Source organism: Homo sapiens, chromosome 17 (genome assembly GCF_000001405.40).
Source record: "Homo sapiens chromosome 17, GRCh38.p14 Primary Assembly".
Classification (NCBI taxonomy): Eukaryota; Metazoa; Chordata; class Mammalia; order Primates; family Hominidae; genus Homo; species Homo sapiens.
This window is the reverse complement of record NC_000017.11, coordinates 46,570,546-46,596,405: the sequence shown is the minus strand read 5'-3', so window position 1 is coordinate 46,596,405 and position 25,860 is coordinate 46,570,546. Positions and strand designations below refer to the sequence as shown.

At 44.9% G+C, this 25,860-nt stretch overlaps 3 protein-coding genes across 19 annotated transcripts in view; 1 reads left to right on the top strand and 2 right to left on the bottom strand.

Moving 5' to 3' along the window:
• Positions 1-5,737, bottom strand: part of NSF (N-ethylmaleimide sensitive factor, vesicle fusing ATPase) — a 166,796-nt gene extending 161,059 nt beyond the window's left edge. For both annotated transcript variants that reach the window (NR_040116.2, NM_006178.4), the window contains exon 1: positions 5,619-5,737. Coding sequence is in view for 1 of the 2 variants with exons in the window: in NM_006178.4 (NP_006169.2) it covers positions 5,619-5,630 (12 nt within the window). In the remaining variant the exon portion in view is untranslated. The remainder of the gene's footprint in view (positions 1-5,618) is intronic.
• The window catches only part of LRRC37A2 (leucine rich repeat containing 37 member A2), a 676,337-nt gene that overhangs the window by 452,723 nt on the left and 197,754 nt on the right, over positions 1-25,860 (bottom strand). The gene's annotated exons all lie outside the window — the stretch shown is intronic.
• ARL17A (ARF like GTPase 17A) overlaps positions 16,684-25,860 on the top strand; it is a 79,433-nt gene continuing 70,256 nt past the window's right edge. For 15 of the 16 annotated variants that reach the window (XR_934479.3, XR_934475.4, XR_934478.4 and 12 more), the window contains exons 1-3: positions 16,684-16,805; positions 20,067-20,231; positions 25,537-25,647. Coding sequence is in view for 12 of the 16 variants with exons in the window: in XM_005257439.6 (XP_005257496.1) it covers positions 20,084-20,231; positions 25,537-25,647 (259 nt within the window). In the remaining 4 variants the exon portion in view is untranslated. The remainder of the gene's footprint in view (positions 16,806-20,066; positions 20,232-25,536; positions 25,648-25,860) is intronic. The other variant, NM_001113738.2, reaches the window with a different exon arrangement.

Sequence of the window (25,860 nt, the reverse complement as noted above, 5' to 3'; positions counted from 1 at the left end):
TGAGATATCATCTTACCCCAGTCAGAATGGCTATTATTAAAAAGACAAAAAGTAACAGATGTTAGTAAGGATGCAGAGAAAAGGGAACTCTCACATACACTGTCGGTGGGAATGTAAACTAGTACAACCACTAAGGAACACTGTATGGAGATTTCTCAAAGCTAAAAATAGAATTACCTTCCATCCAGCAATCCCACTACTGGGTATCTACACAAAGGAAAAGAAATCAATGTATCAAAGGGATAGCTGCACTTGCATGTTTATTGCAGTACTATCACAATAGCAAAAATATGGAATCAACCACCTAAGTGTCCATCTACAGATGAATGGATAAAGAAGATGTCATACATGTACACAATGGAATACTATTCAGCCATAAAAAGAATGAAATCATATCATTTGCAGCAATGTGGATGGAACTGGAGGTTATTCTCTTAAGTGAAATAAGCCAGGCACAAAAAGACAAATATTGCATGCTTTCACATATATGTAGGAGCTACAAAATTTGAACACAAGGAGGCAGGGAGTGGAAAAATAGATAACAGAGACTGGGAAGGCGGAGTAAGGGAGAGAAAGGCTGAAGAGAAGTGGGTTAAAAGGTAAAAAGATCCAATGAGGTCAGTCGCGGTGGCTCATACTTGTAATCTCAGCACTTTGGGAGGCCAAGGCGGGTGGATCACCAGGTCAGGAGTCCAAGACCATCCTGACCAATGTGGTAAAACCCTGTCTCTACTAAAAATACAAAAATTAGCTGGGCGTGGTGGCACATGCCTGTAATCCTAGCTACTCAGGAGGCTGAGGCGGGAGAATCGCTTGAACCCGGGAGGCAGAGGTTGCAGTGAGGCCAAGATAACACCACTGCACTCCAGCCTGGGTGACGGAGCAAGACTCCGTCTCAAAAAAAAAAAAAAAAGATCCAGTGATAGGAGGAATAAATTCAATGTTTGATAGCTGAGTAGATGACTATACTTAATACATTGGACTCATGTACCCTGACTTGATCACTACACATTATACACATGTAAAAAAATTTTCATGTACTCCATAAATATGCACAAATAAAAGTATTGCAACAAGGTGAACTATTTTTGCTAAAAATCACTCAGTAGTTACTAGAAAATAAAGGCTATCAGAAGAAATGATAGACAATCAGATGGGCCAAAGTTTTTCAGATTTTCCAAAAGGTAGAAGATAGTTTCTGAACATTATTATGTCCAAAAAGTTCTAGGTGAGGTAAACCTAGTCTTTACTACACTCTTGCAACTAAGCTGGTGAACTAGGTAACAGTACCAGGCTGATCTGAGTTCAAATCTTGACCCTGCTTCTTGCTGGCTATGTGAACTTCTCAAGTTACTAAATCTCTCTCTCTTTCTCTCTGCAAAAAAACAAAGATAATACTACCTACTTTGCAGGTTGTTTTGTTGGAATTAAATGAGACACATCTGTATTTAAGCAACAGTGCCCAAGTGTATTAATGGGTATCAGTCTAGAGGCATGTCACTGGCAGCATGTCCAAGGGTTATTTCTGACCCTGTCTTATTCTATCCTTTACCAATAACTCAAACGTAGAAACAGAAGTCATGATTAAACCTACAGATCTAACCAAACTGGAAGAGACAGCTATTATGTTTCCTAACATGAAAGAACTAAGAATCCAGATTACCTCAACAAACAGCAGACATGCACTGACCTAAAAAAATGAATTGTAAAAGGATAAGGTCTTGATTTAGGTTCAATAAAACTGCTCTAAACCTAGAATGGAGCTAGGGAGCTGATTTTAAAAGAACATGAGTTTTCACTGACTACAAGCTCAGTATGAGCCAAGAATGTGATTTACTATAGAAAAAACGCTAATACAATTTTATCTGGTATGAATAATGGTAGTGTCCATCTCAAGACAATAATAGCTTAAGTACATTCTTCTCTGATCACTGTGTTCCACTCTGGGCACATTTTAGAAGAAAGGTTGACAAAACAGTAACATTAGGTTACTTCCAGAGGAAGGTAGCCTAAATGATGAAGGGTTTGGAATATGAAATATGCTAGGAATTGGGGGATGTTTAACTTGCAAAATCGAAAATCTGAGGAGATATGTAACCTGTATTCAAGTAAATGAGTAGCTTGAGTAGCTATTACATGGAAAAAGAATTGTGTTTAGTTCCGTATGGCTTGAAACAGCAGAAATAGTAACTACGTATAAAAGTTACATGGAACTCCAGATAACAAAGACCTAACATAGCTGTATGACATTACAGGCAAGCTTTAGGGTAATATACCATCTATCACCAGAGTGTTCAGAGACTGATTCATTTTCAACAAAAATGTATTGAGTACCTAAGTCCCACAAGGTACACAAAGCGCAGTTGATAATGACTAAATAACTTGTATGTTCTCTGCTTTTCACTGAGGTGAAGTGGTAGAAGCAAATAATAACACACACTCAAAGTAACAAAAAGATAAATCTCTAAGGAGAGGAATACAGTTCTTCAAGAGTATATAACAAAGGATCCTGACTTATAATGTGGGGTCAGAGTAGGCCTCCCTTGAGTAGCTAAGTGATGTCTGAGTAGGAGGTAAATGGTTGGGGGGAAGAACGTTACAAAGAAAGGAAACACCACTCGCAAAGACCTTGTGGTAAGAGAAACTACAGGTTCAAGGAATTGAAAGGCTCGTTTACCATATAACCTGAGCACACAGAGTAAGAGAATGAGTGGAAAGAAGCAGGAGCAGAACCACAAAGAGTCCTGAAGGCCTCATTAAGGATTTGGTTTTCTCCCAAAAGTAATGGGATGCTGCTGAGGAGGGGTTTAAGTAGTAATAGGCACGGGAAGGAACAATGAAGGTCAAGAATGAATTGGAGGTGGGCCACATGCTCTAAGAAGACTACTTGGGAGGCCGGGCACGAATCTCAGCACTTTGGGAGGCCAAGGCAGGTGGATGACCTGAGGTCAGGAGTTCGAGACCAGCCTGGCCAACATGGTAAAACCCCGTCTCTACTAGAAATACAAAAATTAGCCGGGTGTGGTGGTGGGCGCCTGTAATCCCAGTTACTCAGGAGGCTGAGGCAGGAAAATGGCTTGAACCCAGGAGGCGGAAGTTGCAGTGAGCAGGGATCACGCCATTGCACTCTAGCCTGGGTAACAAGAGCGAAACTCCATCTCAAACAAACGAACAAAAAAATACTTGGAAGCTTCCTGCAGTAGTCCAGACCAGAAATGATGGTAGTTTGGGAAAAGGAGGTAAAAATGAAGATGTGGAAAGGTGGACAGACTGGAGATTTTTAGGTTAAAATGACAGAACCCATGTGACCAATCCAGATAGTCCAGTGGGTGACTTGGAACTAGTCTAAAGCAACCATTCCCCCAAACCAGAGTCTTTGGCCCTAATTAAATACCTTTATGGGGGGCAGGAGCAGAACTCTGACAAATTTTACCGGGGGATAGGGCAGAGGACATGGGTACAGCAAAAGAGAGACATAAAGGGTTACCCACCCTCTCCCTCCCTCAGATTCCCAGCCTATATAACTGGGTGGATGATGGTATCATTCAGTGAGATATTCCTATCTCACTGGATAGGTACAGATGGTCCCTGACTTACAATGGTTTGACTTAACATTTTTCAACTTTACAATAGTGCAAAGGTGATAGGCATTCAGCAGAAACTGTACTTTGAAGACCTACACAACCATTCTGTTTTTCACTATCAGCACAGTAATAAATGACATGAGGTATTCAACATTTTATAATATAGGTTTATGTTAGATGATTTTGCCCAACTGTAGGCTAATGTAAGTGTTCTGTGCATGTGTAAGGAAGGCAGGCTAGGCTAAGCTATGATATTCGGTAGATCGGGTGTATTAAATGCATTTTCAACTTCTGATACTTTCAGCTTACAATGGGTTTATCGGAAGGTAGCCCCATCGTTAAGTCGAGGAGTATCTACACAAGTTAGGTGGGCTAAGATCCTGGGTTCGGAGTTGAAAAAGCTGCGTTTCGGGACCTTGATTTTAAATAAGCAGTTGGACATATTAACCTGAAACTTAAAGGGCAGGTCTGGACTGGGGGTAAAATATTGAGAATCACTGGCATATAGACAGTTGTAGCTATGGGCTTAGAAGAAATTGCCTGAGCGGGAAATTGAGAGTGAGAAGACGGCCTTTGAGGAATACCAGCAATGAATAACAAAGTAGAGGAGGGTGAGGCCGCAAAAGAGAGGTCTGAGTCAAACCAGGAGCGAGGCATTCCAGAACACATGTGAAGAGTGCTTTCCGTCAAGGAAGCCATGGTCAACAACGTCAAACGCTGCTGAGATATCAAATAAGATAAGGATTGAAAGGTATCAATTAAGTTGAGGGACAGGTTTCAGTGGGATGATGGGGCAGAAATCAGACTGCAGTAGGTTGAAGGGTGAGTAGGTGGTAAGCAAATGGAAGACAATAAATATAGACAACTCTATCAAATTTCCTGCTGTAAACTGGGACGGGAAAAGGTGACAGCTGTGGGGGTGGGGGAAGGGTTTAAGATAGAGAAGCTTGATTATGTTAAGAAGGAGCAGGTGAATATACAGATAGGGTCTGAAGTACTGGCAGAAGGACTAGCCTTAAAAGGAGAGGCCATGGGGAAAAGGAAGAGAAAGAAGCCAAACTAAATGACCTTTAAGATCCCTTCTTACTCTAGAATCTCATGACCTACAAGTCCCTTCAGATAGGGCATTTGCATATATGCATAAATCTATGCAAACTTATTCAAAAATTCTGTTATAAATAGATCAGTCAATCACATCTTTCACCCCCAATGACGCAGTTAATGTCCTCAGGTTTATGACCAGTGTAATCTCCGGGCAGGACTCATCCCTTGAGAGCTTTTAGCTCAAGGCAGACTGCAATACAGCACTCAACCAGCTCTCTCTCCTCGCCAAACCCATCCTACCCAACGATCCTAAAGGCTAAAGGAGGAAGTAAATTTAAAACCCTGAAACTACAGCATATCCTGCTGCATTCGAAGCGAGTGTCATCCATAAAAACAAAACGTGACACCCCAAATCCATCCTCACTCCAAGCTAAAGCCAATTCCTGCCTGACCCGACAGTTGACAGGTCCCCCAGATGGCCGGGCTTTAACACTAAAAGTCATTGGCACCCCCTCCTCTTTCCCAACGACCTTTAATTTGTGAAGAGCCAGACATGGGTTCCTGAAGATCCTTCCTACACCCCTTGCCCCGAATGCAGCAGAGGTGCTCCCGGCAGTTACTCCGGCGCCCCCTAATAAGCCCTCGCAAGGGGGTGCGGAAAGACCCCCAGAGCCCGTCAGAGGGGGCTTCGGCGACCGCGACCCTGCGGCTGTGTGGAGGACGAGGGAACAAGCCCCAAGGGATGGGAAGGGAGGATGACGGGAGGCGCAGCAGACGCGTGTAACGAGGGGTCATCTCCCCTCGAGGGGGGTGGAGTTGTTGAGGAGGGCTAATCCCCTGCCACCGCTCCCCTGCTACCCTCAAGTCCCGCTCTGGCCTCGCGCCCCATTGCTCGGATTCACTCCCACTCCTCTGGGGCCGCCTGGACCCCAGAGTGCCCGCGAGCCCGGCGCCCCTGCCTCAAGCCTGGGCTCCCAGACCGGCACTCACCCGGCCCGCCATCTTCGCGGACACGTCCGGCTCGGCGGCTGCAGCTCTGCGCTCGGCAAAGCCCGCCCCCGCCGCGCGCGCGCCCCCGCCGCCCGCCCTCGCGCAGGCGTGCAACCGCCGTGAGGACGCGCGCGTCCCTGGCCGCGTCCCCGGCGTCCTCGCTCCACAGGGCGCGCGCGCGGGCTCGGCGGCCGCCTGGGGTGCGCGGGGTGGGCAGAGCGGCGGCGCCATTTTGGCTGGAGCTGCGGGGCTGTGGTGGGTGACTCCGTTTCCAACGTGCGTGTCAGTCCGCCGGGGCCTGGAGGGCTGCGCCTGCGAGTCTCATCCCCCACTGGCGGTTCGCGCCGGAATTTGTCTCAAGGGCTTTAATGCTTCGGATCACTTATCCCTTTGCCAGCTGCTGTTCGCCCTCGAATGTCCATTTTGGTCTGTGCTTCCACACTCTCTTTAAACATGGTCTTGCTGATGAGAGCGCCCGGCGCGTTCCCTGGCTTCCCCCAAAAAAGATCAGCTCCGAGGAGTTGGTTCTGAGTTCAAATTCTCCATGAATTTTCTCACTTTTCTTTGTAGGCGTACTTGTTTTCCTAGTTGCTGGAATTGTCATCGTTGGCAGTTTTATTTATGTGTAGCCTGGAAAACTCAGTATTTTCAGATTTGAAAGTGAATTGTGATTATTTTTATACATTATTTTTATTAAATATTTGTCTTTATTTAATAAAGGCAACTTGCATCTTCGACCAACCTTTTCATTCCCCAGTGTTGTTTCATTTTAGACAATATATATGGTAGAATCTGAATAAAATATGCCCTAAATTGAGCCTTGTTGAACCTCAATGTTTCCACCATACCATTTCTCCACTGGAATCTCAGAATATCTAACTGCAAGCACGCTGAGAGGAGAAAGATTCTGCCGAATGGATTCCCTGATGCTTTTATTTACCCCACTATCATATCTCTCTTCATATTTGCACAAGACAATAGGGAATGATAGGATTTGTTCGCTTTCATTTCTCACAATTAGAATAAATCGGGGTTTTTTTCCCAACATGAGGAAAGAAGGGAAATAACTAGAAGAGCTGAGCATGCATAGTGATTTAAATTTGAGAACTAATAAAATCAGACAGTGACCTGAAGATGAACTAGGGACAGAAGAAAAAATTCATGCCAGCCAGGCGCGGTGGCTCATGCCTGTAATCCAAGCACTTTGGGTGGATCACCTAAGGTCAGGAGTTCCAGACCGGCCTGGCCAATATAGTGAAACCCCGTCTCTACTAAAAATACAAAAATTAGCCGGGCGTGGTGGCGGGCGCCTGTGATCTCAGCTACTCAGGAGGCTGAGGTGGGAGAATCGCTTGAACCCCGGAGGCAGAGGTTGAAGTGAGTTGAGATTGCGAGGCTGGGCAACAGAGCGAGACTCCGTCTAAAAAAAAAAAAAAAAAAAAAAAAATTCACGCCTATTTCATTAAGTCTCACACTGAACCTGAGGACCAGGGTGCTTGGTTGACCAAATCAGATGTTAGCTAAATCATGGGTGGGTCGGAGAGGTTATCAGGAAAGATAGGAAACTAGTTGAGTTCTGACATACTAACGTGCAGAAGCTACTAACTTACAAAAACAAATATTAGAATGGCTTGGGGAGTCCAAAGGGTTAGGTTCTTTTCTTTGTCCCTATCTACCCATCACCTGTGTACCTTCATCTCTCTGAGCCCAGTTTCCTTATTTGTTTTTGTTTGTTTGTTTTTGAGACGCAGTCTTACTCTGTCACCCAGGCTGGAGCACAGTGGCATGATCTCGGCTCACTGCAACCTCCGCCTCCCGGGTTCTAGCTATTCTCCTGTCTCAGCCTCCCAAGTCGCTGGTATTACAGGCGCCTGCCACCACACCCAGCTAATTTTTGTATTTTTAGTAGAGACAGGGTTTTGCCATGTTGTCCAGGCTGGTCTCGAACTCTTGACCTCAGGTGATCCACTGGCCTTGTCCTCCCAAAGTGCTGGGATTACAGAAGTGAGCCACCACGCCTGGCCTAGTTTCCTTATTTGTACAGTGAGAGGTATAATTAAATAAGCTTAACAGTTGTATCCTTTTTTTTTTTTTTGACACCTTGACTTTGAACCTAGAATCAAAGAGATTTTGTCCAAATAATTACCAGATCCAGAAGATGACATTGGTTCTCAGTCCAATAATCTGACATTATTTTCAAGGTTGGAAAATAATGCAAACATGTTTCTCCCTATCACTGGTTAGTTTGTCTTGTTTTACTAGATAAGCTAGATTGCAAGTACAAATGTCTTCAATTTCTCCAACAAGGAAGAATATTTATCATCTTGGAAGGATATGCCTGCTGGAAAGTTTCCAGTGTATCAGCTAATGTGCATATCTACCCATTATAAGAGGCCCTCTGTGCCCTCTCAAAGCCCTCTGTGCCTTCTCACAAGTAGTAAAAATTAAATAGAATCATTTGCACAGCCCTGCAGGGCCTGCCAAATAAATTGCAAGCAAAGATAGCTCTTGTCCTTAAGGTCCTTAGCATCCAGCAGGAGAGGAAGGATCCTGAGACAGTGCTCCAGATACTCCACATGTCTCTGCAACCTGTTTGTGCCTTGCTCTGACATTCAAGGTCATCTTAGAAATAGAGGGGTGCTGATTCTGCATCACCCTCTGAGTAATCCTTGCAGTGATAGTCGATAAGCAATAAATGTTTTTGCTGCCCCAAATTCACTCTGCCCTTTTCTGGTAACAGCTCCTCTGGTTCATGCAGCCTTGGAAGGACTGTCAGACCAGGTACCCTGCCTCCCCCTGGCCCAGGAGTGAATACAGAACCCAAGTTCAATCAGTCAGATGCTCTGTCTCTCCTAAGTAACTGCAATCTTGAATACCCTGAAGAATAAAGACAGAAATAGCTAGAGCTCATTTACTGCAATGATGACACCCTGAAGAGACCATTTGCTAGTTCTCTAGATCTCTAGAGTTTACCTGCTTTCTGTCATCTGAAAAATCTGATTGTCCCCCTTTGTCTTGATTTCTGTTAGTCACTTTCTCTTCCTAGAAAAATACCTCCCTCAGCTCTTCGTCGATCCCTGAAATTCTTTTAATATGCTTTCCTTTCACAGTGAGAAAGTTAGTAAGACGGCTAACAGAATGATTAATTTAAATCCTAAAGTGTAATGACTAACATCATTTTTTAAGGAAGGAAGGGCTTTGAGTGGGGGGTAGGAGGTGAGTCTAGGGATAGGGTCAGAGAGGAAAGGTACCTGAAAGGTGGGGAAAGAAGATGAAGACATGATAAAATGGAAATAGCAGGACCCAGAATGAAGAAGAGTGGGGCATAAGGGCAGGGGCAGGGTTTGACCAAGGTCAGTTCTTGCTGAACACAGCCCTTGTGATCCAGTGTGACGGTTAATTCTGTGTCAACTTGGCTTGGCCATGTTGCCCAGATACTTGATCAAATATTATTCTGGATGTTTCTGTGAGGGTGTTTTTGGATGAGATTTACATTTAAATCTGTAGACTTTGAGTAAAGAAGGTTGCCCTCCATAATGTAGGTGGGCCTCATCCAATCACTTGAAAGCCTGAATAGACAAAAGGCCAAACTCATCCAGAACAAGAAGGAATTCTCTAGCAGGTTACCTGTGGACTAGAACTGTAACTCTTCCCTGGGCCTCCTGCATGCCAGCTTCTCCCATCAGATTTTGGGCTCCCAAAGTCTCCACGATCACACGAGTCAATTCCTTAAACAAAATTTCCTCCTATGTATATACACATTCTGTTAGTTCTATTTTTCTGGAGAACCCTGATGAATATAGTCAGTTTCCTGTCAGTTACAGGGATGTGATTCCTGGTTTTTACAAAGTGATCCTTAGCATCACCTGTTGCTCCCTGATAGGTAACCAACATCTATAGGTGGAGGCCTGATTCAAAGACTTGAAAACAGTGCACAGATAGAATTTTATGTTCAAATTATGTCCCATTAAACATCACTTAAAATGTGCTCCATTGGAATGGGGCTGACTAACATTTTGGTTATATAGACATTTGTTTGTAATGGTTGTGGTAACAGAATTTAACTGGGGGAAAAATAAATATCTTCTGTGATTTGTGGAGTGAGGGCAATATAAAACATAGAAGTGAACAGATTCACCGTAATCCACTTTATTTAACAAAGCAATCTGACTATTTGGTGTTTTCATATTAACCAAAGGAAAACTACCTTTAGTCTGTGGAAACTGTAGGGTTAAACAAGTGGCACTGGGGACAGAGTTTTTAGTCACTGCAGGGCTGTTTCAAAGGTCTTCCAGCGGGATTGTATGTAGGTGTTTCAGGGAACAGTCCTGTTCGGTGAATTCACTACTGTATTGTAATTGTCAGAAGGCGTCCTGCAGTGTGTGTGTGTGTGTGTGTGTGTGTGTGACAGAGAGAGACAAAGAGAGAGATGAAGACCTGCACTTCCCCTCTTGCAGAAGATGTCACTGTGAAGCACACAAAGGTGGTCTTCAGAGCCCCTTTTATTCCCTTCCCGCTGCACCCCCTCCTCTCTTTCCCAAGTTCTTTCAGTATTAGTAACCTAACGTATTACTCTTCCCAGGAGTATTGGCAATTTAGGAAAATACTGACAGGACAGCAGTGCCTGACCTAAGAAAACAAACCTCAAAAGGCAACACTTCAGAGACTGTGACACTGTATGGGGAGCCATCTGTGTATAGAAAGCCTTCTCTTGCCCCTCCAATCGTAACTCACAGGTCAGCCACACATACCATGCAAGCCTAGGCTTTCTGGGAGCCCCATGAACACTTAATTTTAGAGCCCCGTCACAGCCAGTTTTAGGATGATGGAGTTGCCATCTGTTTGTTTTCTGTCAGAGAAACCTGTTTTCTAAAATGATGGATAAAGCTAGAGAACGGAGCAAAATGGAGAAAGGACATGGAATTTTTAAATGAAAGGAAGACCAGCTGATGCAATGCAGTATTCTAGCTGCAGTCAGTTGCGGGGCGGGGTGGGGGGTGTTTGTTTTAAATGAATATGTCTTTTCTCTTTGCAGGATCAAGGACAAACACCTATAGTCACAAAAAACAATTCATTCTGGAAAGCCTGAGTGAGCAGGAGAGATGATAGAATCCTCCGTGGAAAGGAAGGACTGTTGCTATGGAAACCAGATGATCCTTCAGTGGGGGCCCCAGTGCACTTGCCAGGCTGCCTAACCCTGTGTATTAACATCATGGGGCTGGAAGGCTGCCTGCATCTCTTTGAAAAGAGATTTTTCAGATATTGGTGTGATGAGACTTTATGCACCTTGAGAAAAGTAAATCAGCATCTCCTGGGAGGGGCTAAGTTGCCTAGAACCTTAAAACACTAGAGGCCCACACACCACAGCCGACTGGGGTGACTATATTGGCTACTCTTGACATTTCTCCAGAGGGCATCCAAGAAGGCATGTCTTAAGGATTCTCTCTCTCTCTCTTTTTTTTTTTTTTTCGAGATGGAGTCTTGCTCTGTTGCCCAGGCTGGAGTGCAGTGGAACGATCTCAGCTCACTGCAACCTCTGCCTCCCAGGTTCAAGCAATTCTCCTGCTTCAGCCTCTCAAGTAGTTGAGATTTACACGCACGCACCACCATACCTGGCTAATTTTTTTATTTTTAATGTTTATTTTTTGGTAGAGACAGGGTTTCACCATGATGGCCAGACAGCTCTCGAACTCCTGACCTCAAGAGATCCACCCGCCTTGGCCTCCCAAAGTGCTGGGATTACAAGCGTGAATCACTGTGCCTGGCCAAGGATTCTCTTAAGGGCAGGTTTATGGAGGGCTGTTTCTGAGGTAAGGAACACAGCTTTCCAAGAGAGGAAGAAGACATCCCTTGAGCAGAGGTTTGATTAGAAGAATAAGTTTAGTGGCACTTGGGGGAAGGTGGTCTGGGTATTCTGTGTGACATTTAAACTCTAACTACCATACCAATACCACTATTACTACAACTATCCCTAATTACACTATTAACTAATTTTAAAGTCTAAGCCAGAGATGAGGAGCTTTCTCCAAATAGGTTTCTCAGAGTGAAATTCTCTTTCTACTTCTCCCAAGAGCACTTTGTCCTTTCCATGCTTTACAAATAACATTATATTGATAAGATGTGTTTTCTATTAAGGAAAAAATAACTCTATTAAGTCAATATCATCACAAGCAATTCATGCTTATTGAGTCGTTGCAGTTCGAGATTTATAAACTTCCCTGAGCAGCCACTGTGATTTCAATTAAACCTCCCTCTTGTCAGAGTTTTAATTTTTAAAAAATAAGTTGAGTTTTCCATTTTAAAATCAGTACACTATTTTCCCTCGATCACTTAAAAACAATCACAGTCCTACCTCCTGAATATATTCACTAGTAAGTTCGGCCTATTTTTAGCCTCTTCCCCTATACATTCCTCATGCATATCATTATAAAATTCTCCCTCTTTTTCTCTCTCTATATGAATGTATTTTGTTTGTTTGTTTTTTGAGACAGAGTCTCACTTTGTCTCCTAGGCTGGAGTGCAGTGGCACTATCTTGGCTCACTGCAACCTCTGCCTTCCAGGCTCAAGCAGTCCTCTCATCTCAGTCTTCTGAGTAGCTGGGGCTACAGGTGCACACCACCATGACCAGCTAATTTTTGTATTTTGTATTTTTTGTAGAGATGGGGTCTCACCATGTTGACCAGGCTGGGCTTGAACTCCTTGGCTCAAGCAGTCTACCCAACTCAGCCTCCCAAAGTGCTAGGATTACAGGTGTGAGCCACTGCACCCGGACGTATGTATTAAATATATATTATATATATATATATATATAAAACATATACGTATATGTGTATGTATTTATGTGATTATAATTGTTTAGCAATTGAATGCCATGTGGGCAGGAACTTTGTTTATTCAGAGGCTTGTGAAAGGAAAATAAAAACTTGGGAACCCAATTCATTCTGCCAAAAGAAAAAAATTTAAGCTGAAAGCTGAGTCATGCAAGAAGTTGCCTTTCCTTTCATTCCTAAGCAGGACTGACTGCAGCTAACTACTCTATGTCCACCTTATCTTATGGTAAGCACGAGAGTAATACATAATTGACTATTCCCCTACTTGCTCCTTGTCTCTTGCAACATGTGAATTCAGTAATGTGACCATACTCTCCTTCTTTCCCTTCCAGCCTGCTTTTCCATTTTAAATATTAAATCCTTGCTGGGCACCGTGGCTCACGCCTGTAATCCCAGCACTTTGGGAGGCCGAGGTAGGTGGATCATAAGGTCAGGAGTTCGAGACGAGCCTGGCCAACATGGTGAAACCCCGTCTCTACTAAAAACAACAAAAATTAGCTGGGCATGGTGGTGTGCGCCTGTAATCCCAGCTACTGGGGCGGCTGAGCCAGGAGAATGGCTTGAACCCAGGAGGCGGAGGTTGCAGTGAGCCGAGGTTGTGCCACCGCACTCCAGCCTGGGTGACAGAGCAAGACTCTGTCTCAAAAATAAAAATAAATAAATAAATAAATAAATAAAATCTTAAATCCTTCTGGCCGGGCGCGGTGACTCACACCTGTAATCTCAGCACTTTGGGAGGCTGAGGTGGGCGGATCACCTGAGGTCAGGAGTTGGAGACCAACCTAGCTAACATGGTGAAACCCCGTCTCTACTAAAAACACAAAAATTAGCCAGAAGTGGTGGCACGCGCCTGTTAATCCCAGCTACTTGGGAGGCTGAGGCATGAGAATCATTTGAACCTGGGAGGTGGAGGTTGCAGCGAGCCAAGATTGTACCACTGCACTCCACCCTGGGCAACAGAGTGAGACTCTGGCTCAAAAACAAACAAACAAACCAAACTAAATCCCTCAAAATCACCTTTGGAAAAAGGCACAGGCCTGTCTCCCAGGTAAGCATCCTTAATTTTGGCAAAATAAACTTGTAAATTGATTGAGACATGTCTCAGATACATTTTGGTTTACAGGCTCAGTGCAGATATTGGGAAAATAATGAATATTCTTAGGCTATGAGGGATGGAAGGATAAATTCTCATAATTATCAGCTCCAGCATTCCTTCTGTAGGAACAAACAATGGTAAGTAAAAATCTCACCTTCGTTATTTCACCTTTTTTTTAGGTTATGATGACTCCATTCAAACAACCTTCATAGTTCCTGGCAAAACAACTTTCTATCTTTCCCTTGGAAGTCAGTAGGACATGAATATATCATTTCTAATAGATGAAATAAAAATACTAGTAAACATTTGGAAAAATAGCAAGTCATCAAATAAATGAAAATTAAACTAGCATGAGTTTTTTGTTGTTGTTGTTGTTGTTTGAGACAGAGTCTCACTCTGTCACCCAGGCTCTGCACCCAGTGCAGTGGCTCTATCTCGGCTCACTGCAACCTCCGCCTCCCGGGTTCAAGCAATTCTCCTGCCTCAGCCTCCCAAGTAGCTGGGATTACAGGAATGCACCACCACGCCCAGCTAATTTTTGTATTTTTAGTAGAGACGGGGTTTCAGCATGTTGGCCATGATGGTCTTGATCTAACCTCATGATCTGCCCGCCTCGGCCTCCCAAAGTGCTGGGATTACAGGTGTGAGCCACTGCACCCGGTTATGTATAATTTTTATAGTCAGAAAAAACATACTTTAATTTTTAAGGAGTCATATGTATTTATATTAACCCTCATACATATAAGCACTGTAATTAGAAGAGTAAGTAGTACTGTAATTTAATAGTTTTGTTTGCTCAATGCACAGTGAGTCAGCATACAGAGACACCTGGCTGCAGCAAAGAAAGAGTTTAATAATCACAGGGCATCTGAATGAGGAGATGGGAAGAAGCCTCAAATCCACCTCCCTGAGAGGTTTGGGGGGCAGGGTTTTTAAGTCCTCTGGACAGGGGCTGCAGTGTGGGGATCGATGATTGGTCAAGAAGTGAAGGGCGAAGTCATGAGACAGGGAGACCAAGAAACCTCATTCTTGTGCTGAGTGGGTTCCTTGGTTGGGGACGTCAGAATTCAGGATCTGAAAAACAACCCGTTCTTGGGCAAAACGATCTTATGAGTCTAGCGTCAGAAATTCTTACTCATGGTAAGAACCATGGAGAAACAGGTAGGAGGTGGTCTAGCACGTGGAGTGATGTTCAGTGAGTTAGCAGCTGCAGGGAAGTGGGTCAAAGTACACTTGTGCACCCTGGATAACAGCTAACTATATATAATGCTGCCTAAAGCCTGGCTTGTAACTCTCCTTAATCCTGTGAGGGCAGTTTCCATTCTGTATTTGCTTAAAAAGATTAAGGTGGCCAGGCTCGGTGGCTCATGCCTGTAATCCCAGCACTTTGCGAGGCTGAGGTGGGTGGATCACTTGAAGCCAGGAGTTCAAGACCAGCCTGGCCAACATGGTGAAACCCTGTCTCTACTAAAAATACAAAAATTAGGCAGGCGCAGTGGCACATGCCTGTAATGCCAGCTACTTGTGAGGCTGAGGCAGGAGGATCACTTGAACCTGGGAAGCAAAGGTTGCAGCGAGCCGAGATCGCACCACTGCACTCCAGCCTGGGCGACAGTGAGACCCTGTCTCAAAAAAAAAAAAAAAAGGAAAAAGAAAGAAAAAGATTAAGGTGTGGGAGTGGGACAGACCCAGGCTACTTAATATTTTTCTGTAAAACAGCAGGGATAATAGTTTCTTTTCTTTCTTTTTTTTTGAGACAGGGTCTTGCTTTATCGTCTAGGCTGGAGTGCAGTGGCACGATGTTGGCTCACTGCAACCTCTGCCTCTCAGGTTCAGGCAATTCTCCTGTCTCAGCCTCCCAAGTAGCTGGGATTACAGGCGTGTGCCACCACGCCCGGCTAATTTTATATTTTTAGTAGAGATGGGGTTTCTCCATGTTGGTCAGGCTGGTCTCGAACTCCCAACCTCAGGTGATCTGCTCGCCTCGGCCTCCCAGTGTGCTGGAATTACAGGTGTGAGCCACCACGTCTGGCCAGGGATAATAGTTTGTAATTCACTGGGCGTTACGGTCCTGCAGGTAACATTGTTTTTCTTATTTATTTATTTATTTATTTAGTCAATTCTAGCAGTATCTTCTAACTTTTTTTGTTCGTGTTTTTTGAGACAGGGTCTCGCTTTGTCACCCAGGCTGGAGTGCAGTGGCGTGATCACGGCTCTCTGCAGCCTCTACCTCCTGGGCTCAAGTGATCCTCCTGCCTCAGCCTCCCGAGTAGCTGGGACTACAGCCGCTACCATGCCCGGCTAATTTTAAATTTGTTTTTTTTTGCAGAGATGGGGTTTTGCCATGTTGCTCAGGCTGGTCTCGAACTCCTAGCTCAAAGCCTTGGCCTTCCAGGCGTGAGCTACCGCGCCGGGCCTGCTGAAGTTCTTGATATAGTTTCTGGCACATAGTATATGTTTAATAGATGTTTGTTGTTCTGATGATTTCAGTTATGTACCATTTACAGGCGTTTGTAACCTTTTTAGCTAACAAGTTGGGCATTTAGGGAACTGACTATAGAAAGCATTTCTCGGAAACGAGGACTGGTTCTGCGACGTCTTAACGAGGTGCGGGTGGCCAGTATTTTCCCCAACTTGAAAATCTGTGTAGAGGTGGGAGGGCAGTCTAGCCTCAGGCGGAATAGGAAAACTTCCTTATGCCTAATTTCAGTGTCAGTGTGTGGTATTTCCTACGCGGAACACCGCCCCAAACTAATGTCTACGTTTAACTCAACCGCGGTAAATTTCCTTCCATGGCACTATTAACTTGGCCCGGCCCACATGTCCCCTCCCGGTTGGTGTGAACGCTCCGAGGTTAGCTCAAACCTCGGCGATTTTCCCAGCTGATTGGCCGTGCAAATAGACAATCCTTTTGCTTTTCTGATTGGTCGCACATGGCATCGGGGGTGGGGGACGTGGGCGTGTCTCGCCAGAATTCGTTTAACTGTGATTTGAAGATGAACATGGTATTGCCAGAGCTTCATGGCGTCGCCTACGGCGCTCCCTCCCTCCCAGGCCCTTACTCTTCTTTGCGTTGGCCAGATATGTCGTCACTCACAAAACTTCGAGCTCATTGGTGCAAAAGCTCCAGGAGGCGGTGGGTGATTGGTTGGTTGCTGTTCCTGCCCCCACGCCTGTCGTGGTTTAGCTGAACTGAGCTGAAATCCTAAAGGCCGCGGAGTCGGCGGTGTTGTAGGTAGCGGTACCTTGAGTGGCAACAGGTGAGTCTCCGGCTGCAGGGATGGGGCGGCAGCACTCAAGACCTGGCTGGATCTCCACTTCGTCTGCGGGCCAGAAACTGGAGGGCGGCGGTGGCTTTCGGAAAGGGATTGGGCTCCGCTGTTCCTTCTTCGCCCTCTCTAGGGCCGGAGCAGCGAGGAACCGAAGGAGGCTTCATAGGTTCCACGCAGGGCCCTCTCTTTGCTCTTCCAGGGGCGCACAAGTTGAGAAGGAGCGGCCTGGCAGCCGGGGCAAAAAAGGGGCGTCTTTCCCCGGGAGCCGGGCGTGCCTGGCTGCCGCGCACGCTCACCTGGGCCACCACGCTTGTTCGCGCCCTTGACGTCGTGCCGACGTTTCTCCCTAATGCACTTTTGGCGCTTGGGGCTGGGAGACTGAGCGTGCCAAAAAGGCCCTGTAGTCGGAGCCATCTTACCTTAGAGGGGTCTCCAGCGGCGCAGGGGTGTCAGGACCACGGGCGCCTGGGGCACATGAGTAGCAATAAGAGGAAAGAGAAGGGAGAGGGAGGTCAAGGTGGTGTGTCTGTGCGGTTGGCAGGGGGAATTGGGACTAGCTGCCTCAAGGGGCATCTGAGCGGGAAGTACCTTCCCTCCCCCAGCATGTTCCTGAAAAGTCTCCTCATCTGTGAGATTTGTTTTTCGAAACAAAGAAAAGGAATCTCTAGTTTTGTCGCCCGGCAAGATTTTGAGTGCTGCAATGCACTGGACTTTTATAGACCTATAATGGACTTTCTTTGAATGATTAAAACATTTATCATTCTTTGGTCACTTACGCCACATTTGTGAACAGGATAAATTCTGTGCTCGCTTTCTCTCATCCTAGAAAGGAATGTTGTGTACTTGGGCGTAATCCATGATATTAAGCTACTGCTGGCCACTGTTGAATTTCAGCGGTGAGGCCTGTGGAATTTGGTTACCTCCGCTCTGTGGTTACCAGAGTCCGAATGAATGGGAGATTGGCTATCCTCCTTGTGTCTTCCTCCTCCCCTGCCCAGGAGTAAAGCTTTCTTTGGTTAGCAATTTAAAAAGAAAATAAATCACAGTCTCTGGAACAAGGATGTATGTCTTTTTCTTTTTGAATTTTTTTTTGTTTTATTATTTTTAAAAATAGAGGCAGGGTCTCGCTATGTTGCCCAGGCTGGTCTTGTACTCCTGGCCTAAAGCAATCCTCCCTTGTCTTCTGTTATCTCAGTAAGCAAAAACTAAAGTGACCCTCTTGCCTCAGCCTCCCAAAGTGCTGGAATTACAGGGGTAAGCCACCCTGCCTGGTCTGAAGATCTTTACAGACTTCCAAGAGCTTAGTTAGAGGTGTAGACCCAGCACTGCTTGTAAGTCTTTACTTAGAATGTCAAGCTCACATTTCAAGTAGGCTGATCTCAAAGAGACTGTAAATTTCTGTAAGTTAGTCTGACTTTACTATTGACTTACTTTATATAACCTACCATGATTTCTACTGAAAAATAAAATATTGAACATTTATGCTGTTAGAAGTCAATATAGTGATTACCTTTTATGGAGTAATGACTGGGAGGAGGCACAAGGAGAATTGGTCTGATAATCATTTTTTTTTTTTTTTTTTTTTGAGATGGAGTCTCACTCTGTTGCCCTGGGCTGGAGTTCAGTGGCCCAATCTTGGCTCACTTCAACCTCCACCTCCCAGGTTCAAGTGATTCTTGTGCCTTAGCCTTCTGAGTAGCTGGGACTGCATGTGTGTGCCACTACACCTAGCTAATTTTTGTATTTTTAGTAGAGACGGGGTTTCACCATTTTGGCCAGGCTGGTCTCGAACTCTTGACCTCAGGTGATCCACCCACCTTGGTCTCCCAAAGTGTTGGGATTACAGGCATGAGCCACTGTGCCCAGCCTGATAAATCATCTTTTCTTGATTTGGTTACATAGGTGTGTTTGGTTCATGAAAATGTATTGAACTTTACAGTTATCATGTATGTTTATATCTGTATGTAAATTATACTTAAATAAAAAGTTCTAAGAACTGGTTGAGAGTAAGGTGATAGTTACAGCAATAGAACACTGGATACTGGCTGGGCCTGGTAGCTCACGCCTGTAATCCCAGCACTTTGGGAGGCTGAGGTGGGAAGATCACTTGAGCCCAGGGGTTCGAGATTAGCCTGGGAAATATAGTGAGACCTCATTTCCACAAAAAATACAAAAATTAGCTGAGCGAGGTGGCGTATGCCTGTGGTCGCAGCTGCTCCAGAGGCTGAGGTGGGAGGATTGTTTGAGATGGGGAGGTTGAGGTTGCAGTGAGCCGTGATTGTGCCACTGCACTCCAGCCTGGGTGACAGAGCGAGACCCTGTCTCAAAACAAAACAAAAAACTCAAACGAAAACTGGATGCTGTGGTGCCTCCTCAACTCTGCCAAGTTATCTCTCTTGGCAGTGAAGCTTCCCAACGCTGAATTTCTTTGCCTCTGAAATTTCTTAGGTTATTTCCAAGGTGTCTGCTAGCCATAAGGAACTACTACGTTTCCAAGGGATATTGTTGTTTAACCTGTCTTAAAGACTTTGTTTTATATTGCATAAAATAAAAAGCTTCTCTGTTTCATAAATTCTCATTTCAGTAGAATTTAGAATGAGGTATAGTTGTATTTGTTGTATCATTGCTTCTGTACTTGTTTTTTAAAAAAAATTAATTAATTAATTAATTTTTTGAGACAGTCTTGCTCTGTTGCCCAGACTAGAGTGCAGTGGCGTGGTCCTGGCTTACTGCAACCTCTGCCTCCCCAGGTTCAAGTGATTCCTATGCCTTAGCATCCTGAGTAGCTGGTACTACAGGCGTGCACCACCGTGCCCAGCTAATTTTTGTGTTTTTAGTAGAGACGGGGTTTCACCATGTTGGCCAGGCTGGTCTTGAACCCATGACCTCAGGTGATCCACCCACCTTGGCCTCCCAAAGTGCTGGGATTACAGGCGTGAGCTACCGCACCTGGCCTTGTACTTCTGTACTAAATGACTAAAGGCTGCCACTGTCATAGCAGTGCTGAGGCTATGTTGCATATCCCTCTTGGATGCTGCAGTGGAAAATAGAATTTTCTGGTAAGGCATGGAAAGGTTTAGTTGAGTTTCCCTTTGAAGACAAGACTCACTACTCATTGGCCAAAGTGTACCTAAAATTGTTGAATTTTTCCTGGGAGCCATTTCTAATTGACACTTGTATTTTCTGCGTGTTGCTTCTATATCTCTGCAGAGAACAATTATTTGGCTTGCTTTTCTTGTCATGTTACAGAATTCGATTAAATTACAATGGGAAACATTTTTGAAAAGCTCTTTAAAAGTCTACTTGGGAAAAAAAAGATGCGGATTCTTATATTGAGTTTGGATACAGCTGGAAAAACCACCATCTTGTATAAATTGAAGCTGGGGGAGACTGTGCCTGCCGTCCCTACAGTAGGTAAGTTAATGAAAGACCTGTGGCAATTCCAGTTTACAATTTAGTATGTTATATATATTTTTTAGGTTCTGTTTCACCAGAGAAATATGTTTTATTTTTACATGCTTCTTATGTTATTGAATAATTCTTTTTAAAAATCTTGTCTACTCCATGAGCATACATTTTTAGAGGCCAAAAACCAGGTTATATATATCCTTTTCTTTTTTTTTTGACTCTGTCACCCAGGCTGGAGTGCAGTGGTACATCTCTGCTCACTGCAGTCTCAACTTCCTGGGCTCAAGTGATCCTTCCATCTCCCTCCTGAGTAGCTGGAACTACAGGCGTGCACCAGCATGCCCAGCTAATTTTTGTATTTTTAGTAGAGACGGGGTTTTGCCATGTTGCCTAGGCTGGTCTTGAACTCCTGGGCTCAAGCGATCCTCCCGCCATGGTTTCCCAAAGTGCTGGGATTACAGGCATGAGCCTCCGCGCCTGGCCAGGTTATGTATCCTTTTCTAGTGGCTTGCACATTCTTAGGTTCACAAGGGAGACATGTGAACACATGGAGGCTAAGCAAATTTAACCCCATTTGCTTGGCAAAAAAGAAAAAGATAATGGGCAAAACAGGGAGGGTAGTTCTGCCCCTCATTCCTCGCAGCTAGTGTCCCAGCAGAAGGCTGAGGTGGGAGCTGGGAATCTGCTGGTGCCTCCTCAGTCAGCCTCTGTTCCAGCTGGCCTTCCTTAGTGGCAGCATCTCATCTCTACACCAAGTACGCTCCCAGTGCTTAGAGATGGAGTGTGATTTCTTTTCTTCACTCTGGCTCAAACCAACTGCTTGAGATGATGTCCAACTAGAGAAATAGACAAGCTGGCTGCACTGCTCTTACTGTGAACCAGCACTGTGTTTTACCGGCTTGTTAAGAGATTTACAAAGCGAGTTTTGACAGAACTGAATCTTTGCCTTGTGAACTGCCTCTAGATCCAAACTTCTGACTGAGGATACACCCCACAGGTGGCATGTGAACATTACTACTGTTCTGTTCTGAATATTGAATTAGGCACAGGACTCAAATGATCAACTTTCTTTTTTTTTTTTTTTGAGATAGAGTCTCGCTCTGTCACCCCAGGCTGAAGTACAGTGGCGCGATCTCGGCTCACTACAACCTCCGCCTCCTGGGTTCAGGCGATTCTCATGCCTCAGCCTCCTGAGTAGGTGGAATTACAGACGTTCACCACCATGCAAGGCTAATTTTTGTATTTGTGGTAGAGACAGGGTTTCACCATGTTGGGCAGGCTGGTCTGGAACTCCTGACCTCAAATGATCTGCCCGGCTAAGTGCTGGGATTACAGGCGTGAGCCACCGCACCTGGTCTCCAAATGATCAACTTTCAACTTGGGCAGTAGCTGCAGAGATTGCATCGATTGAGGAGTGGGAAACCGAGGAGAATGTTCGAGTTATGAGATGGTTGTGTGTAAGGTAGTAATTTGGTTAAATTTTTCAAATGGATAAGCCAGTGCTGCCCAGGAGGCACTTTCTGCAGTGATTAAAATGTTCTGTGTCTGTGCTGTTTAGTGTCGTAGCCAATAGCCATGTGACTGTTCATGTGCTTGAAATGTGGCTAATGCAACTGAGGAACTGAACTTTTTTGTTTTTTGAGATGGAATCTTGCTCTGTCACCCAGGCTGGAGTGCAGTGGCGCGATCTCAGATCACTGCAACATCCGCCCCCTGGGTTCAAGTCATTCTTCTGCCTCAGCATCCTGAGAAGCTGGGATTAGAGGTGCACGCCACCACACCCGGCTAATTTTTGTATTATTAGTGGAGACGGAGTTTTACCCTGTTGGCCAGGCTGGTCTCGAACTCCTGACCTCGGGTGATCCGTCCACCTTGGCCCCCCAGAGTGTTGGGATTACAGGCATGAGCCACTGTGTCCAGCCGGGAACTGAACTTTTAATTGTATTTAACTTTAAGTTTATTTTTTATTTATTTTTATTTATTGATTGATTTTTGATTTTAACTTTAAGTTTAAATAGCCACGTTGCCAGGCGCAGTGGCTTATGCCTATAATCCCAGCACTTTGGGAGGTTGAGGTGGGAAGATCACTTGAGACCAGGAGTTCGAGATCAGCGTGGCCAACGTGGTGAAACCCCATATCTACTAAAAATACAAAAATTAGTAGTGGCATGCACCTGTAATCCCAGCTACTCGGGAGGTTAAGGCAGGAGAATCACTTCAGCCCGGGAGGCACAGGTTGCAGTGAGCTGATATTGCACCACTGCACTTCAACCTAGGTTACAGAGCAAGACTGTGTCTCAAAAAATAAATAAATAGGCCGGGCATGGTGGCTCACGCCTGTAATCTCAGCACTTTGGGAGGCTGAGGCAGGCGGGTTACCTGAGGTCAGGAGTTCGAGACCAGCCTGGCCAACATGGTGAAACCCCGTCTCTACTAAAATTGCAAAATGGGCGTGGTGGCAGGCGCCTGTAATCCCAGCTACTTGGGAGGCTGAGGCAGCAGAATCACTTGAATCCGGGAGGCGGAGGTTTCAGTGAGCCGAGATCGCACCATACACTCCAGCCTGGGTGACAAGAGCGAGACTCTGTCTCAAAAACAAAACAAAATAAAACAAAAACATAAACAAATAGTCACAAATGGCTAGTGACTATGTATTGGACGGTGCTGGGGTAGACAGTTGTTCAATGTCATTTATTGAATAATTTTTCCATGCTGATTTGAAATGCCTTCTTTGTTACATACTAAATTCTCACTGGTATGTGTGTCTTTTTTTGGGCAAGTACCTGTTGCATTTATATTTGAACTCTATTCAAGTGTTACTAGGGCTTGGCATATCCTTAAAAATAATTCATTACTCATTTTCAGAGATTTCCTGGTTATGCTTACTTGTTTATTTCTCCAGGTTAAATTTTAGATAATTTTGCTAAGTTTCCTGCCCCTGCCCCTACCATCATTATAGGATTGGAATGGCATTGTATTTATTTATTTAGCAAGAATTTAGATTGTTGCAATGTAACGAGTGTCTCTCACTAAAATAAGGCATGACTAGAATTGAGGTTTGGAAGGTGAGCAGACCCAGCTTGCTTGGGTCTTGACAGTCATGTTTGGGATTTGGGTGTGGGAAGCCGCTAAGGGGACATCTTTCCTTCTTTTCCTTTCCTCCCTTCCTCCCTTCCTCCCTTCCTCCCTCCCTCCCTCCCTCCCTCCCTTTTCTGTCCTTTCCTTCCTCCCCTCCCCTCCCCTCCCATCTCTGTCTCTCTCTCTCTGTCTCTCTCTTCCTCTTTTCTTTCTTTTCTTTCTTGGATGTTATTCTGTCATCCAGGCTGGGGTGCGGTGGTGTGATCTCAGCTCACTGCAATGTTTGCTTCAAGCAGTTCTCCTGTCTCAGCCTCCCAAGTAGCTGGGACTGTAGGCACACGGCACCAATGCCTGGCTAATCTTTGTGTTTTTTTGTAGAGACAGGGTTTCACCATGTTGCCCAGGCTGGTCTCAAACTCCTGAGCTCAAAGCAATCTGCCCACCTCAGCCTCCCAAAGTGCTGGGGTTACAGGTGTGAGCTACTGTGCTCGGCTTATTCTTTCTTTTTTTTTTAATTTTTAATTTTATTTTTTGGGGCGATTATTCTTTCTTTTTTAAGTTTGAAAATATTCCAATCAAACATAAATGTGTAGAGAAATGACGTGACCACACTATGTGTTTTTAAGCTATTGCTTTGTTTAGAAGATGGTGACCGGATGGAGAGAGGGAGAGTGGCTGAGGTGAAATTAGTTATATGGTTTCAGGAATTGAGGCTAGAAATGATGGTCTGTTGGGTTAGGGTGACTATTAGTTGTTGAAGGGGTTGAATTGATAAGGTGTGGTAGTAGGGTTCTAGGGGTGCGAGCATCGGATGTTTCCAGGGCACCTCTCAGGCTATCAGCTTGTGGAACGAAGTCAATGATGGGATAACTAGCAGAGGAGGAGGTTGGGGGTAGGGACCTTAAATTCCATTTTTGACTGATCACCTTGTTTTGGGGCCTTGAAGACATTTGCCAAAGCTGTTAGATTATGAGCCTGAAGCTCAGGAGAGAGGGCTAGGTTGGGGGATATAAATCTCAGAGTTAGTACAGAGATAGGAATGAAGTCGTGGGAGTGAGTGAGATTGCCTAGGGAGGGGTGCAGAAAGAGGAGAGTGGATGGGGCCAGTGAGAGCCAGGGCGACTCCCATCATTGCAGGATCAGTTAAACGTGGCTGAGTTCACTAAGGAGACTGAGACAGTACAGCCATAGAGATAGAAGGAAAAGGGAAGCTGGGGAAGGGTGTCAAGGAGGGAGTGAGCAGTAGCGTCAGATAGAAGATCAAATTATGGAAGAACTGAGAAGGCCTGTGTTAGATTTATTGACCTGGTGATCACTGCTGACCTTACTGAAAACCAGCTACCCAATGGTGGAGCAGAGCTAAGGTGCTGTTGCGTGAGAGGACCGAAGAAAGCTTAGTGGACAGGTTGCTTGACCTCAGGAGTTTTAGACCAATCTGAGCAACATAGTGAGACCCTGTGTCTACAAAAAATTTTTTAAATTTAGCTAGGTATGGTGGCTCATGCTTATAGTTCTAGCTGCTTGGGAGGCTGAAGCAGGAGGATCCCTTGAGCACAGGAGTTTGAGGCTGCAGTGAGCTATGATTGTACCTCTGTGCTCCAGCCTGGCCAACACAGCAAGGCCCTGTCTCTTAAAAAAAAAAAAAGCAAATAGAGGGTGAAGATGTGAAGGAAGAGAGTGCGATGAAGATGTGGGGATCAAGGAAAGGTTTGTTTTGTTGTTTTTAAAGATGTAAAAGGCTTAAGCATGCCAAGGTGAACAGATTGGAGATATTCAGATATGGGAGAGAATAGGAATAGTAAAAAGTTCCAGACAGTCTGGGTAGGGTGGATCTGGCTCATAGAGGGAGGGAGTTGGTGGAAGAGAGTTACCTTCTTCTGTTGTTCCAAGAGGGAGGAAGAAAAGCATGGGTAAAGATGTAGACTGGCTTTTACACTGTATGGTGGAAGTGGAAGTCATTCCCATCGGCGGCTTCTCTGCTCTGAAGTACACTGTGATAGTCTCCTGCTGAGAGAAAGGGCAGGTGCGTGGCTAGAGATTGGAGAGTAGAGAAGGTTTGAGACACCTGTCCTGATGAATGGGCGAGGGGGCCAGCACATTCTGTTTGAAGGCTATAGATCTTTGACTAGCAGGCTGCTTTGTAAATTAAAAGTACTGTCCGCATGTTGAAATTATTTTGAATTGTTCAACCAGCACAAATCATAATTAAATGTTTTCCCCATGTTTCATTTAGGTTTCTGTGTGGAGACAGTAGAATATAAAAATAACACCTTCGCTGTCTGGGATGTTGGCAGCCACTTCAAAATCAGACCTCTGTGGCAGCATTTTTTCCAGAACACAAAAGGTAAAGATTATTCGGTTTGTAGCCTCGATACTGTTTCTGTGAAATGTCTCTAAAGACGGATGCTTGAAGTGATACCTTCTGGTGCTCTGCTCTATTTACACTGTCAGCCATTTCCTCTCTTAGGGTCTCTTTATACTTACTGGGGAGGTTTCTTTTGTGAGACAGAGTCTTGCCCTGTTGCCCAGGCTGGAGTGCAGTGGTGTGATCTTGCCT